We start from the raw sequence: 17,862 nt of genomic DNA, 5'->3' as shown, positions 1-17,862 counted from the left end.
GAATGCCATGGAGGGAGGTGGAGATGAGAAATGGCTAGGTTTGGGTTACAGTAAGAATTTTTGGTAGATAGTATTGTTAGCTTACTCCACAGTGCTGGCTAGTTATGACTGTGTGATTCAATTCTGGCCAATGAAACCTTGGGGGACATCAAAGGTGGGTTTAATGCTACTCTGAAAGTTTTTTCTCCTCACTAAATGTAAATGTATGAGAGCTTAATGAAGTCATGCCTGTTGGATGAAGTTTTGCCTTAGGAACTTCTTTTCTACCCACTAAGAACTTCCTTGTTCACCATGTTTTGCAAATCAAAGTATCCTAATTGATAACATAATCAGATGTGACCAGAACATTAGCACACATAAAAGAGGAGTAGGAAATAATGTAAGAAAAAAATGTGTCCTATTGTTAACAGGTTTTGAATGACACACTGCAATACCTTGTACTTCATTTGGTATGCCTGTGGAAGGCCTGCAATAGCAGAATAATATAATTGTGGAAATGTGGAGTACAAGTAATAAATGCTTTACTTTACCACTGTATCATGCACATACTAGGGCCAGGGACACAGTAAATGCTAAGTAAACATTTGATGAATAATATGAAGGAAAGAAATCACACAAATAGTTATTATAGAGCCTTAATGGCCAACTATTTTTGATTTCTATTTAATAATTCTATTTAGATTTAGAGCAAGTAAAGTTTCTTCTAACCCATGCAAAAGTGTATATGATGTATTTATTAAACAGATTTATATACTTAATTAGGAGGAGACGATTAAGTGCTAGTAAATTGGGTTATGCTGCTGAGTATTAATTATATGTTACTGAAAACAGATTTAAAGATAGGCAAGAGAGTAGGAAAGAGAAAAAATGCAAGTGTAGCTATAGGGTTATGGCAATTTGGTATGTATTTCTAAATTAGCAGAGGGGAATGTATATTTATATTTATTTAAGCACTTTTAAAGTGGAGATGTACTTACCATAGAGTTGTAATTACTTAACACCCTATCATTTCTTCTGGGAAATGTATGACTTCTGTAGGATTGTATTATCTAGGACATATTGTGTCCCCTTTTACGTGTAATCTAAGCTACTAAAACTGAACAGAAACCTAACACATTCACAAGTAACACATTTTTCTAAGGACCTCTTTTCTTTTAAACCAGAAAAACAGTGCAACATCTACAAATGGGAAAATACCCATACTCCTTAATCAAATTGGAGAACAGCTCATGTTTGTCACTGAGAAAGTTAATTCATTGTTCAGTTTAGTAGCTTGAAACTGTTATGCCATGTTCTTCACTGAATGACACACATTCTTTTGTAGAAGTGTTCTTCTGCAAAATGCACACCAGAATGTTGGTAATTGGGGCATGCAAATTTGTTCTGCAACTAAGAACAAGAGGAGGATTTAGAAGCTATTTTAATGTGGTAGTTCATTTATGTTTAAAGTATAATAATATTCATGTCATTATCATGTATTATTCATATGCAGTGTTTGAAGTGGAGGTCTTTCCAAATATATTAAGAAACTCTTATTCACAATAATCTAATTAATTCCCACACCCTTTCTTCCTCTGATTTCAGCAGGTGTGAATCTTTAGGCTGAATTATATCACAGGTTTTAAACTAGCACGTTTTCGGCCAGATCCAGTGAGCAATGTGTTTTGCTTGGCCCACACGGTTTTTAATTTTCAAAAATTACTTTCCAGAATTTAAAAATGTGAAACCCTGTCTCTACTAAAAATATAAAGAAATTAGCCGGGCGTGGTGGCAGCCGCCTGTAATCCCAGCTACTTGGGAGGCTGAGCCAGGATAATCACTTGAACCCAGGAAGTGGAGGTTGCAGTGAGCCGAGATCGCTCTTTTGCACTCCAGCCTGAGCAAAAAGAGCAAAACTCTGTCTCAAAAAAAAAAAAAAAAAAAAAAAAAAAAAAAGCCATGAGCCATTACACAAAAATTCAGATTTTCATTCCCCTTTGCAAGATCAGAAGCACTGGCAACAATGGACCTACACCGCGTAGCAACAATTTGCTCTTGTTCGGTAGACCTGTAGGTGGGGCCCGTGCGCTCTGACTCCAGGTAGCCTCACTTTCATTGGTCTCCTGGAGCCGGGAACTTTTACAGACGCTACCTATGACATCCTTACACAAACCCTAGTTCACCTGGGTAATCTAGGCTTAGCTGTGGTTTGGCATTAACAAAAAATACCGGCCGTAACTAGAATGCTTTTTCTATAACTGGGGATGACGGGGGAGGCCAATCTCAGCTATCAGGGATTCACTGGGTATCTACATACCGATAAACCATCTTGAACAAAAGTTTTCCATTCTGCTTCAAAAGATGTTTTACATTCTTGTTCAAGTATAACTTTTATGAACGGAATTTTCTTCTCTTAAACCTGTTTTATGTAAACACTACTAAGAAGAATGGTATACTATATATTACAAATTATTTTTAAAGGTCTACTTTGTAATTAAGATTCATGTCAGCCCGGCGCAGTGGCTCACGCCTGTAATCCCAGCACTTTGGCAGGCAGAGGCGGGTGGATGCCCTGAGGTCAGGAGTTTGAGACCAGCCTGGCCAAGATGGTGAAACCCCGTCTCTACTAAAAATACAAAAATTAGCCCGGCGCAGTGGCGGGTGCCTGTAATCCCAGCTACTCGGGAGGCTGAGGCAGGAGAATCGCTTTGACCCGGGAGGCGGAGGTTGCAGTGAGCCAAGATCGCGACACTGAACTCCAGCCTGGGCAACAAGAGCAAAACTCCGTCTAAAAAAAAAAAAAAAGATTCATGTCAGATATTTTATAAAGAATTTTATTTGAATGATCTTTAAACATTTAAAATAATTTGCTTTTCTTTAAAATTAAAACTAAAAACACGTTTGCTGATCATTAACATTTATTGAGCAGTTATTAGTGGTTATAAATTGTGCTGATTATATACTTTATCTTATTTAACCTCACAAAAATCATATTGTGTGTGCTATTGCTATTTTCATTTTACACCTAGAGATAAAACAACTTGCCTAACAATGCTTCTTTAAAAATCTTAAAATATTTGATAGACAACAATTGTATATACTCAAAGTGTACAACATGATGATTTGCTATACATATGTCTTGTATATCCGAGTAACATTCTTAACCACTTCAGAAGTGTAAAAGAATAGAAGGAAAGAAAGAGGAAGGGAGGGAGGGAGAGAGGAAGGAAGGAAGGAAGGAAGGAAGGAAGGAAGGAAGGAAGGAAGGAAGGAAGGAAGGAAAAGAGTAGAATAGATTAATAGGTTATATTAAGGTACATGCATATATTAATAGTAAATTTTGATTCTTAAACTTTTGATGCAGTTACAAGGTTTGTGAATGCGTGTGAGCAGGCACAAGTGTGTGCACACACACTAGTCATGATGTAAAATAGTTTTTTCTAACAGAAATTTGGTCAAAAGAGTTTTAAACTACTGCACTATGGCACATTGCTCCCTCCTATTGGAGTTTGTAATATTTAATTAAGTTTTGTTGATATTTTAGGTAAAAGTGAAGTTTAGATTTAAACAACTTTTAAAATATATGCACCGTTAGCCTTACAGTGCATAAAATTATTAAAATGTATTATAATTTTACTAATCAAGAATGATAGCCATGTCCTAGACTTTCAGAGCATTATCTAGTCTTTTAAAAAGGAGAATTCTATTGGAATACAATCAAATGTGCTGCAAAATGCAAGTAGCAATGTCAAAGACAAGAATGATGATTCATTTTTAAAAAGCAGGTGTAATATATGTTTTTCAATGCCTTTTTGTTTAACTATTTTGTCTATTTTATCTGTTTTTTTTCTTTTTCTTTTTTTTGAGATGAAGTCTCACTCTGTCACCAGGCTGGAGTGCAGTGGCGCCATCTTGGCTCACCGGAACCCCTGCTTCCCGGATTCAAGCAATTCTCCTGCCTCAGCCTTCTGAGTAACTGGAACTACAGGTGCGCGCCACCAAGCCCAGCTAATTTTTGTATTTTTAGTAGAGAAGGGTTTTCATCATGTTGGCCAGGATGGTCTCGGTCTCTTGACATCATGATCCACCCACCTCTGCCTCTCAAAGTGCTGTGATTACAGGCGTGAGACACTGTTCCTGACCGTCTGTCTTATCTTAAACATCTTATTTCTGTAAATACAAAATAGGTAACAAAAACAAGCAATGGGGAAAGGATTCCCTATTTAATAAGTGGTGTTGGGAAAACTGGCTAGCCATATGCAGAAAACTAAAACTGGACCCCTTCCTTACACCTTATACAAAAATTAACTCAAGATGAATTAAAGACTTAAATGTAAGACCTAAAACCATAAAAACCCTAGAAAAAAACCTAGGCAATATCATTCAGGACATAGGCATGGGCAAAGACTTCATGAATAAAACACCAAAAGCAATAGCAACAAAGGCCAAAATTGACAAATGGGATCTAATTAAACTAAAGAGCTTCTGCACAGCAAAAGAAACTATCATTAGAGTGAACAGCCACCTACATAATGTGAGAAAATTTTTGCAATCTATCCATCTGACAAAGGGCTAATATCCAGAATCTACAAGGAACTTAAACCAATTTACAAGACCCCATCAAAAAGTGGGCAAAGGATATGAACAGACACTTCTCAAAAGAAGATATTTATGTGGCCAACAAACATATGAAAAAAAGCTCATCATCACTGGTCATTAGAGAAATGCAAATCAAAACCACAATGAGATACCATCTCACACCAGCTAGAATGGCGATCATTAAAAAGTCAGGAAACAAAGGATGCTGGAGAGGATGTGGAGAAATAGGAATGCTTTTACACTGTTGGTGGGAGTGTAAATTAGTTCAGCCGTTGTGGAAGACAGTGTGGTGATTCCTCAAGGATCTAGAACCAGAAATACCATTTGACCCAGCAATCCCATTACTGGGTATATACCCAAAGGATTATAAATCATTCTACTATAAAGACACATGCACATGTATGTTTATTGCAGCATGATTCACAATAGCAAAGACTTGAAACCAACCCAAATGCCCATCAATGATAGACTGGATAAAGAAAATGTGGCACATATACACCATGGAATACTATGCAGCCATAAAAAAGGATGAGTTCATGTTGTTTGCAGGGACATGGATGAAGCTGGAAACCATCATTCTCAGCAAACTAACACAGGAACAGAAAACCAAACACTGCATGTTCTCACTCATAAGTAGGAGTTGAACAATGAGAACACATGGACACAGGGAGGGGAACATCACACACTGTGGCATGTCAGAGGGTGGGAGGCTAGGGGAGGATAGCATTAGGAGAAATACTTAATGTAGATGATGGGTTGATGGGTGCAGCAAACCACCATGTCACGTGTATACCTATGTAACAAACCTGCATGCTCTGTACATGTATCCCAGAGCTTAAAGTATAATAATAATAAAAAAACTATCAATTGAAACAAGAATGCAAGAAAGCATCTAAGTCTAAAATTAAAAAAAATTGGTACACTAATTAATCAAGCAACATTGCATTATTCAGCTTCATAGATGTTGTTTATTCAGTAATTAATTCCTGCTATGAAGAATTTGTTAACCAATCCTAAACTTGTGTCTGATGGAAGAAAATAAACACATTGAAGGTTGAAGTGACTGACCGTAATTTTATACATAGACTATTTCTCTGTGGTTTTGCCAAAGAGTGCATTGTGGGGAGATGCTGTATACCCCCCCACCAAATCTCCATCAGCAAGTCATAAAGTCAAACTGAAGTAAATATAGAAGGCTAAGCTTTCATGTAATAGAAGTCTTTTTTGCTGGCTGCTTTTTAGCACAAAAACTGCTGCTCAGGCTATGCAATTACTGATTCCACTTGGAATACAGAGATTATGAAAGGCGACATCTTGAGGGAGACCAGATATGCCCTTTGTCGAGGTGATAATTGTAAAGTTACGACCAAATAATAATCATAGCATCTTTGGTTTCTGTCATTCTCTTCACTTTGGTTTCATAACTTGAATGAAGTTCTTAAATAAAACTTTCCCTGTGGCTAACAGTGGCTTCACTTGTCTTCCTGCTCTATAAAATCTGCAGTAGCCCATAAATTCCTTATTAAACAGTATTTATGTACTATTTAATATAAATAATATTACTGATTGATATGGTTTGGATGTCCTCTCCTATTCTCTGGGATTGTGATTCCCAGTATTGGAGGTGGGGCCTGGTGGGAGGTGATTGGATTGATGGAGTGGATCCCTCACGAATGGTTTAGCACCATCCCTGTGGTGATGAGTGAGTTCTCACTGAATTAGTTCACATGAGATCTCATTGTTTCAAACAGTCTGAGACCTCCTCGTTCTCTGTCTTGCTCCTTCTCTTGCCATGTGACATGCTGGCTTCCTGTTGCCTGCCACCATGATTGTAAGTTTCCTGAGGCCTCACCAGAAGCAGATGCAATCACCATGCCTCCTGTACAGCCTGCAAAACTGTGAGCCAAATAAACCTCTTTTCTTTATAAATTATCCAGCCTCAGGTATTTCTTTATAGCAGTGCAAGAACACGCATATAATATAAATGCATATGTCTTTGTACCAATAATTTAGTGTTGTGCATAAAATTATATGTTCTTCATCCTGATTCCTATTTCAAATGTCCTATAATGCCCTGATTTAACCCTTTTTTTGGCTTTTAGATGTCTTGCTATGTTTTAGTTCTTTGTCTTTCTTTCTCTTCCTAGAATACGCCAAGCTCATTCTACCTCAGGGCCTTTGCTTGTATTCTCTGTGGAGAGCATTCTGCTTCTAAGTTCACATTTCTACTGTAAATCAGTACTGCTGCTTGAAACAAACCAGAAAATTTATTTAGAAAATTTGTACTAACATACCTTTTAACTCAGAAACTACACCTAGGCACATACCCATTGAGAACGACTTATACATATGTATCAGGTCAAAAGTGTGATCAAAAAGGATCAGAGCTGCATCAGCTGTAATGGCAATTAAAGAGAAAAACAAACAATCTGGAAGCAAACTAAATGCCAATCAAGAAAGAATGGATAAATACACTCTGATGAATTCATATAGTGAATTATTATGCCTAGTATTGAAAAACAAATGAATATGCATCAACATAGATGAATGTCTAAAACAAAATGTAGACCCTCAAAAGGCAGTTATTAAACAAGAGTATGCTTTCATTTATACAATATATTAAACATACAAAATGATACTATATATTTAGGTACAGGTATATGTGGTAAAATAATTAGGGAAACTAAGCAAGTGATAAACACAAAAGTAAAAATGGTGGCAACTTCTAGAGGTGAGGGTAGGGGGAAAGTTGAGATTAGAAGGGTACATAGGGGATTTAAATGTTTGATTTCTTCACTAGATTTTAAGAAGCCGTGTGTTTTGGTTTTATATATGTGATATACACATGAAATAAATAATATAAATGTAGTATCAAATAATAACATTTTTCATGTGTTTAACATTTAATTTAAAAACTAAAATATAAACCATTAGTCCTTCTGTATCATATCCTGTTTTATTTTCTCATAACTTACAATTACCTGAAATGACCTTATTAATTTAATGCTGATCTATTTATTGTTCATCTCTCCCCACTTCTCTAGCAGACTGCAGGCTTCACAAAGCTGGCACGTGGCTTCTGTGGTTGAGAGCTCAGGATAGGAGACTCTCTAGCAATTAGTAGGTACTAAACATATTTGTTGACTTAATGAACCACCAGCAGATATTTATTACAAATATAGCTCCAGAGTACTATGAGGAAGACATTTTCAGGTACATATGGATCTTTTCCTTAAGTATCTTAGATTTCAATTACATTTGTTCAACATTGTATGTTCAGTGAATGAAACCATTTTCTTATCAAACCAAATTTCCCATACATGCACCCACTGTTCTTCCTTGTATATTTGGTCATTGACATGTGCGATTTTTTTTCTTCTTCACATGAGACATTTTGAATTTTGGCATTTAAATGAATCCTAATGTGACAAGATGAAAGATTAGGAAACACTTCAGCAACCTCCTCTCATTTATTTTATTACTGGATAGGAAAATTACTTATAAATTTCCTGAAGGATATAATCCTATTCCTGTTAACTGCCTGAAAAATGATTTGCTTGCATTTTAAAAAAAAGTCTTTTTCTTGTTAATTTCTTAATATAAAACAGTGTAAAAACTATTACTTAAATGGCATGGAAAAGCCTGAAGTACTTAATTACTAAAGAAAACCAGAAAAATGTTAAGTGAAGTGTAACAATTATAAGATGAGCTAAGAAGCCATTAAACAACATTTAACATAAGCATTTTAAAATTTTCCTTTAACTGAAATTGCACTATTTGGCTTTTAACTATTCTAGAAATAACAAATGATAATACTTTAATATAGAGATTAAAAATAAATTTCTAACATCAATTCCCAAAATTGAGTCATTAACTAATATAATTTTTCCCAATCATAGAGTTATACAAAATTATTCAACTTTTGGCTATAAAATTTGTGAACACTTAATAAAAGAATAGCCTAATTGAAATGATAACTTTCACCCAGCTCCTTCTTCAAAATTTAATCTTTGTAAAAATCACTGATTTTTAAAAAATAATCCATGACATGGAAAACTAAAGAGGATATTGTCAACCAAGAGCAATTCAAGAATTTTAATGTTCCAGAAGGTGGAAGATGACATATAGTAACGTGGAGTAATGGCTAAGCCCATTGCTGAACCATATTGCTTGGATTTGGACACTACTCTTCCACTCATGTATGGGTTGTATGACATTCAGAAATTTACTTTCTTTTTGCCTCATTTCCTCATCCATAAAATGGGGATGAAAATAATATTCCCTGTCTCCTAGGGTTTTGAGGACTGAATAAAATAATTCATATAAAATACTTAAAATACATCCAGCAAATAATATATGCTCAATAAATATTACTACCATTTACCCAAACTATGAAACTTTAAGAATAAAGATTAATTTATCTAACTCAAGTTCTGCATGAAATAAATAATGAATATGTTAAAAGATATCTACTAAAACCTAACTCTAGGTAATGAACACATCTAAAACAAATTTAGAAACTGTTCTAGAAATATTCAAGCTAGTATATAAATTTATCTGGCAAAAAAAATCACAGATGAACTCTATGTTTAAAGCCTTATAATAAAATTTTGCTTGTCTAATATTACAAATGTTTTTAAAGGTGTTAAATAAATAATATATAGCAAATCCCCCTAAAAGTACAGCTAATATTTCAACAGAAGAAAAGCATCTGGTAAAGAGAAGAACAAGATAAGCCACAGACTGAGAGAAATATTTGCAAATGACACATCTGATAAATAACTGTTATCTAAAATATACAAAGAACTTTCAAAGCTCAACAGTAAGAAAATGAGCAACATGATTTTAAAATGAACAAAAGACTTAAATAGACACCTCACTAAAGAAGATGTTCAAATGGTAAGTAAGCATATGAAAAGATTAGGGAATTGCTAAGTAAAACCACAATAAGGTATTTCTACATATCTATTAGAATGGCCAAAATCCAGAACACTGACAACATCACATGCTGTTGAGGATGTGAAACAACAGGAACCCTCTTTTATTGCTGGTGGGAATGCAAAATGGTACCACCACTTTAGGAGACATTTTGGCGTTTCTTACCAAACTAAACATACTCTTACCATACAATCCAGCATTTTTCCCCTTTTTATTTATCCAAAGGAGTTGGAAACCTAGGTCCACACGAAAACCTGCACTGAGATATAGTATCTTTATTCATAATTGCCAAAACTTGGAAGTAAGCAAGATGTCCTTCAGTAGAAGAATGGATAAATCAACTGTGATGCATCCAGACAAGGGAATATTATTCAGTGCTAAAAAAAAAATAAGCTATCAAGCCATAAAAAGACATGGAGGAAACTTAAATGCATATCACTAAGTTAAATATGACAATCAGAAAAAGCTATGTATCGTGTGATTCCAATTATATGTCTTCCTGGAAAAATCCCCAAACTACGGAGACAGTAAAAAGGTCAGTGATTGCCAGGGATTAGGAGGAAGGTAGAAATAGGCAGATACAACAGATTTTTAGGACGGTGAAACTATTCTGTATGATACTACAATGGTGTACATATGTCAATATATATTTGTCCAAACCCACAGAACGTACAACACCGAGAATGAACCCTAAGGTACACCAGGGACTCTGAGTGATAAAGATGTGTCAATTATCATCACTTGTGCAAGATGTGCAATATACTTAGTTTTAGTACAACATAGATTTTAATTTTACTACAAAATATTTTGTAACTGGGTATTAAAAGTATGTTTGGCTTCTATATTCTTTAGCCATGATTATAAAACAACCAGAGAATTAAGTTTAAATTTAAAGAAGTTTTAAGTTTACTGCCTGAACTTAATTAAACCAGATAATTTAATTTTTTTACCTTCAGCACCACCTTTTCCCTTTTTTTTCCCATTTTGCAAAGAGCCAAAAATGAGGAAATAAAGATTGATAAGTAAAGCAATATACTCAATATCTTGTAAAAACACCTAGAATTATGCAGCTGTGCATAAAGAACTAAATCTTAAGAATAGTAGAAGCTGTTTGTGGTGGCTCACACCTGTAATCCCAGCACTTTGGGAGGCCGAGGCGGGCGGATCACGAGGTCAGGAGATCAAGACCATCCTGGCTAACACGGTGAAACCCCATCTCTACTAAAAATACAAAAAATTAGCCGGGCGTGGTGGCGGGGGCCTGTCGTCCCAGCTATTTGGGAGGCTGAGGCAGGAGAATGGCGTGAACCTGGGAGGCGGAGCTTGTAGTGTGCAGAGATGGCGCCACTACACTCCAGCCTCGGCGACGGAGCGACATTCTGTCTCACAAAAAAAAAAAAAAAAAGAATAGTAGAAAGCAGTACTAGTGAATGTAGAGTAAATTATAACAAAATAATTCAATTATATTCTAAATTACAACTAAAATGAAGGCTTGAGAGGGTAAAAACAACATTATTGAAAATAATTTGCATACATTGTGGCAACCAACATTTTTTTCTGATAACTTGAATTGACTTACCAAGAGACCTTAAACATTGGGAACTAAATTTCTATGCCAAATTTCAAATAACTGCTATATATATAGTATGCGGGTAAATTCCTTTGAGACCAAACGTGCTATTAAACTATTTATTTACCCCAATGCCAAGTTTTTAACAGTTCATCTAAAACATTATATTAGGGGACTTGAAGCCTCCAAATGTTTGGAATGATGCTTATAGAATAACAAACAGAATTGCTAGAAAATAGTGTCATTTCTAACTTCGAGTCAAATGGATTAGCAGAGCAATTGGAGTGATCAATTTCTTCTATGCTAATGATGTTAACAAGTAGAGTGACACTTTGCCAAATGTTACCAGATAAATGATTTCTAGAACAGTTTAGGCACCATATGTGCAAATAAAGTCTGTTTTTGTTTATTCCCAGAAATCAGGAGCTGGAATAGATAGTAATGCCCCTTTCTACCTAATAAGACCAGAAGTAATGATTTTCCTTTTCAGATTTATGTTTTCCCACATGTAAAACAGATAAAATAATATAGAACTATAGGTATTTTCCCACAAAGACATATCAAAATTAATATGGCTGTCTTGATTCATTATGCATATTTACAGTCTTTTCTTATCCTCAGGCATTAAATGACACATATAATTTCTGGTAGAGCATAAAAATAATCCCTTGATGTGAGAGTTTTTAAAATTGTTTCAGTACCATGACCTTATTTGAGATTTCCAACAATCCAGCAAGTTTGCCAAAGTAGATTTTAGTGCTCTCATATAAAAGATGAAAAACTAAGGTTCAGAAGGTTGACATTAGTTTTCCAAGGTCATATGGCTAGTTAATTAGGTAGAGTCTAGATTAAAACCTAGATTAGTGACTTCTAAACCAATCTTTACTATAAAATTATGTCATATCCAATCCTAATATTAGAATTTAAGGTTTAAACAGCCTTAGGAAACCACGCAGGGGTTGAAATAAATATTTAGACATTTTGCTTGCTGGTATATTCCATTTTCTATTAGATGGAAACACATAGAAACATATTTCAGGAAATATCCAAGAAAATACAGACAGTCCTCAATTTAGGATGGTTCCACTTATGATTTTTCAACTTTGCAATGGTGGTTTCAACTGCGAATGTTAATGGTGAGTGTCCTTATAACCATTCTGTTTTTCACTTTCAGCACGGTAGTCAATAAATTACATGAGATATTCAACACCTTATCATATATATAGGCTTTTTGTTAGATGATTTTGCCTCTGTAGACTAATGTAAGTGTTTTGAACATGCTTAAGATAGGCTAGGCTAAGCTATGTTTGGTAGGTTAGATGTATTAAATGCACTTTCCATTTACGGTATTTTCAACTTATGATGGCATTATTGAAATGCAACCCCATCATTAGTCAAGGAGCATCTGTAACATTTATGGCTGTGTTTCCCAAACTATGTAAATGGAACAAATATTCTGTAAGATAAAAATTAATTACTTTGGGAAACCTGGCATATTAACACCTTTGAATAGTCAAGGTACTGATAAGTGCTGCAATAAAGCTACCTGTTTTTAACATTGTTATGTCTGCAGGCCTACCTGGGCAGACATATTTTCAAATGAAAGAGAGCTAGCTTATTCTTGGTAAATAGAGTTGCTTACCCTGAACCTAATGAACAGAGTCAAGAAAACAATATCTCTTCCTTACCTCTAGTAGAATCTCCTCTTCAGCTTCCTCTTGGTAATCAGGTGGTCTGTGCTAGGCATGCTTTTCTTAAAAAATTATAAATTGGTAATTTTCACTGTCAAAACAATGTTGCTCTGCCCACCCAGTAAGTGTCAATTTTCTCCTATATCTTATATGGCTTTGTGACCTCACAAAACAATGACCTAAGTCCCAATTTAATAATACTGAAGCGTATCAGTTTAGGGATAGGGTCATGGAAACAGGCTGAAGTATTTATTCAAATGTAGTTATTTCCTACAGTATCTGAAAGTGGGGGTAACAAACACCCAATAGTATGTATTGCTATGTGCCTTTTATTTTCCTGTTCTTAATATTAATGTGAACATTCCACCAATATATCAGATATGTATTTTTGGAACTTACAAACATCTTTTGTAACCTATATCTATTGTATCCTGCTGCAGATGTTCAGAAATTGAGGACTGTTCCAATCTTGCAATTTCAAAATTATTTCCAGAGGAAGCAAAGATCAAAGCCCTCCACAAGCATGCATGGCTTTAAACATATTAGAAGATAAATTAAGCCATGTTCAGGCAGAAAGAAGAAGCGAGAGGTAGAATTTTAAAATTTAATAACAGCGGCCTGCAAATAGTAGTCACTTTTTACTTATTGAATCTCAATTTTCAATGCTACAGTAATAATAGTTCCCATTTTATTATTTCACCAGATTTGATCTGGGTCTGAATCTTAAAAATGGCTTTTCCTAAAAGTACTAGCTTAAAATAATAAGGAATTACTTAGTCAAGATAGTTCTTGATCGGTAAATTTTGTCTCACGTACATAGCAGTATATAAAATTCAATTTTTATTTTAGTTAAACTAAGTATCAAATGACCACAGTGACGATTCCAGCACTGGATCCTGTATTCCCTGGTATTCTATTAGGTCATATTTCAACTACTGTAAATATGTAAATTCTGTTACACAGAAGATCTGGAAATAACCAAATATTCTTTTAAAAGTCAAAACTGTTAGCACTTCAAACCCATTTACTAAAAACTAGAGTGAATAAAAAAGCTTGTTATTTCAAAGATTTATCTGTGTTATTAATAGGAATCATTAACATCTCTCGAGGGTTAGAAAAATATTTGCTTTAAGCCACATATTCTCTAGACAACTACTGCTCCCTTTCGAGCATATTTAACTGTTTACCTTGAAACATGTTACACCTTTATGTCCTCTGCCTATCATTAGGATGTAACCAAAAACAATTCTATCGTATGTTCTAGCTAACTACTTACAATTTCATTTGTCAAAAAATAAAAACAAATGTTTTTTACCTTATCAGTTTGCTCAGTATTTTCAGACATTTACCTAATAAACTATTTAAAATAAAGATTCTGAGAAATACAACCTCCATGAAATTGCCTCAATAATGGTTAATTTAGGATACCAAATGTCTGATTAAGATGCATTAGAAATCTTAAGAAACAATAGTGTTACACGTGGGATGATCAGAATGATAGGTATTATAATAAAGACATTAGGAAAATGGTTTTAATAATCTCAGAACTTTGGCAGAACACTAAATTGCGGGGTTTTTTTCTATGTCAGAAGTACCTACAATTGTTTCTGAAAAGGAAGCATAAATATCAGACAGGGTGCCAGCTCCTCCAGGAATACAGTAGAAAGGCACAGCCTTAATCTTTCTTGCATATGCTTCCAAAAATTTGCTGGATATCTGGGAATATGGAATTAGACCTTCGCCTCTGCTTTTACCTGGGCACCCACTTGTGTCTCCACTGGTCAGGTCGCATTTAACTGTGTATGAGAAATTGATCCAGTCCTTACTTTCCTGGTGGCATACGAGAGTTTCCTCAGAATTGCCAGGGTCCACACTATCCAGCTTCAAGTCATTTATCTTGAAGTTGCAGGCTTTTGGGGGGCTATGTAGAAATACCAAGAAGAATCAAGTTTCTCTCACTACTTCACATGCTTCAGCCTCTTCATGTAATGTCATTTTGGGCACCCACCATGAGACTGGTTTCTTAGTCCTTCAGTATAAAGTCTGGAAGGGGACAGTATATCTCATTCAGATTTGGAAAGAAACACAGACTTTTTTTCATCCGTAATGTGTTAAATGCAGATATAATTTAAATTATAAAGCTCCCCCAGATGATTTATTTAATGTTTTGGCTAAATAAATTGCTTCATGTACATGAAAGTGTTGAATTGATAACCAAATAAGATGGGTCATGCTGCTTTTCCATTTCTCTCTCAGTTTCACCCTAAGATCTCACAAAAGCGCTGTTGGTTTTTAACCTCACCAATTCCCCGGCAGCCAGTCACTCCTTAATGTTTTGCAAACTGGCTTTCCCATCTGCCATTTTCTAAAATGATCCTTTTGATTCTTTTCTTAATGTTTACTTAAGTCAGTAATTCTCCTATTTCTGTCCTTTAATCGCAACTGTTTCTTTTCGTTTTGTGGGTACAATAAAATATAATTTGTCTTTTTCCTTCACCTTCAAGATTAAAGCTGAGGAGGAGGAAGACCTTGCCTATGAACTTATTAACAGTCTAAAATCTTATTAGCAGTGGCTTTAAAGCTTTGTCCAGGTATTAGAATAACTTATTCAGGTCTGCTTCTAAATCTTAAAAAGGCTCAAGTAAAAAATATGTGTGTGTGTGTGTGTGTGTGTGTGTGTGTGTTTTGTGGGGTGTGGTGGGGGAGAGATAAAGAAAAAGCACATCTTGTTTTGTATGATAAGAAATACTCCATTGTGAGAAAGATAATCTTGCTAATTAAGAAGGGAGCTAGGCAAAGGTTTTATCTTATGGGACTTCCGACAATCTGCCTCCAAAAACTTACTGCTTGTCTTTGGGAAGTGTGCGAGTTTGCTCTTACAGTCAGAGGAATAACTAAGATCTTCAGCTCTTATGGAGAGAAGACCTTCAAGGAAACTAGACAAGGAGCTCTGACCTACCTTGTACTATTTGCGTAACTCGGATTGTCAAAGCCTCTTTCTCATCCTCAACCTCCTTGTCATCATACTGTCTACCCCCTTCCCAACAAAAGCCAAAATTGTATCTGATTTAAAGAACAAAATACCTCCAAAGATTGACTGGCTGGTAACCCAGGCGTTAATTAATACTGAATTTCTTAGACTCCAGACTTACACTGTTGGGAAAAAGAGGAATGGATCCCGAAGGAAAGATTAAATGGGAGGAGTTTTTTCTGAAAGATGATTGGAGATTTAGATGTCAAAGATTAGAAGATATTTTCCAAGTGAGGCTCAAGACAAGAAAACAGGTTAGGATCTGGAGACTTCTACGAAGGAATGAATGGCATGTGAAGGTTTTAACTTCTTGGTTACTTTTTCTTTGGTTTTACATTTCTCCCCTTCCTACACACTGTAATGTTACTGACCAAATGACCACTCAGGAAAGTCTAATAAGTGCCAAATATCCTTGTGTTTTCACACAAAAATCAAGGAGTGAGGCTAAATGGACATAGAAGGAACAAGAACCAAAAGGCACTATAGAGAGATGATCTATAACTGATCATTTTTAGTTTACTGGCAGTAGGTTAGAAGAGGCTGAGGTGGAATCAATGACACTCAAGATTTCACAGCAACTTTGGGGAGGGTGTTGGATTGTCCAGAAATCATGGATTAGTGGTTAAGCCTAATTTGTCACTGGCCAAAGGACAGAGTGACCCTAGTAGATCCTTGGGTTACTCGCTTGGTAAACATTCTCCATGGCTCTTTTAATTCGGATGCCCTTTATGCAATCTCTTTCACTCCCTTGGAGAGCACTGAGTCTTATATCTGGGACATACTCAATCATTTGTTGGATTGAATGTCCTTGTTGCGATCATATAAAATAATCTCATTACTGGATAAAGAACAGAATCATTTTGCTGACTCCTGAGGCAGTGACTGAGTCTACCTTGAACACTCTTAAGCCCACGTGACTAGTCGAGTACCTTGAACTCTGGGAAGTGCTTAGTAAATGTTTATTGATGATTAATCCAAAAGGTTTCAGAAGCTTTACAGGAGGTTATAAACAGACTGAAAAAATCCATAAATCCCTCAAGACAGGGCCAGACTTACAAGAGTATTCAAACTGATTTTTTTCTGAAGCAGTCTTAAAAGAAAAGAAACATGAAGGAAAAATTTTCAATATCCTATTAAAAGAAAAGAAACATGAAAGAAAAAATTTCAATATCCTACCTTTCGGAGATGGGTTTGCAAATGCAATCAGGATGTCAAATATTTATGGAAAGGTTTTGGCTATTTTATTTAATCTTCTGAGATGACATTACCCTCAACTGTCTAGTTGTTTTGTAAATATCTTTAGCCTTTAGTAATCAGAAGCATGTGGAGTTCTATACTTCTCCAGGCTGCCAAGTATTATGTTAAAGTGAAAGCAAGTCTTAGAGCAAACTCTCATTTTTATAAAGGTTGATTAGTAAGCAGACACAAATATTCTCATAAATTGTCTCCTTGTATATTCAAGGGAACACACACCTTCTGTCCTCAGAACTCTTGAAGAATAACAACTATGAATGGAAATTCCTTTTCTGTTATATCCAAGGCAGATGAAACAAGGTGAAGCCAGCCAGTGTTTGAGCTGCAGGCCATGAAATGAGACACATGGTACCAAATAGGCATCCAGACTGTGAACACTTTTCTGAAAGTATGAACCTGTTGAGATTTTATATTCTAGTGCCTCATTTAAGAAAGAGCAGTGAAATCAATACAACCTTTCTAGCCATTGACAAATTTTAAACACTTGTCATTTTACCATATAGATTTCTAATATCTTTTGAGCTAATTGGCAAGCTTTCTGGTGTAATTTCACTAATAGTATTTGAATAGCTCATGTAGCCACCCTGAAAGGTAGTGTCCTGATTTGAGTCCTTCAATGCTAAGGAATAGATTATAGTTTACTTAAACAGACATATATAATCACACACTACACTGTTTATATTAAAGTTTTTTAAAAAGTATATTATCTTCATATAACATAATGGGTGACTTACTTATTATTGCTATTAATATTATCATTATAAGGTTCATTTTCCAAACAAGAAAACTGAAGTTCAGAG

The 17,862-nt window shown here is 35.2% G+C and overlaps 1 protein-coding gene across 36 annotated transcripts in view; it reads right to left on the bottom strand.

Moving 5' to 3' along the window:
• NLGN1 (neuroligin 1) overlaps positions 1-17,862 on the bottom strand; it is an 898,421-nt gene that overhangs the window by 145,018 nt on the left and 735,541 nt on the right. For 3 of the 36 annotated variants that reach the window (XM_047447713.1, XM_047447714.1, XM_011512553.3), the window contains exon 1: positions 12,775-12,893. The exons of the other annotated variants lie outside the window; for them this stretch is intronic. The gene's annotated coding sequence lies outside the window, so the exon portion shown is untranslated. Of the gene's footprint in view, positions 1-12,774; positions 12,894-17,862 lie in introns of those variants that run through there. 36 annotated transcript variants of the gene reach the window in all.

The sequence above is a fragment of the Homo sapiens genome, chromosome 3 (genome assembly GCF_000001405.40).
Source record: "Homo sapiens chromosome 3, GRCh38.p14 Primary Assembly".
Lineage (NCBI taxonomy): Eukaryota > Metazoa > Chordata > Mammalia > Primates > Hominidae > Homo > Homo sapiens.
Note: the sequence above shows the minus strand (reverse complement) of the source record. Positions and strands in the feature narration are given on the sequence as shown.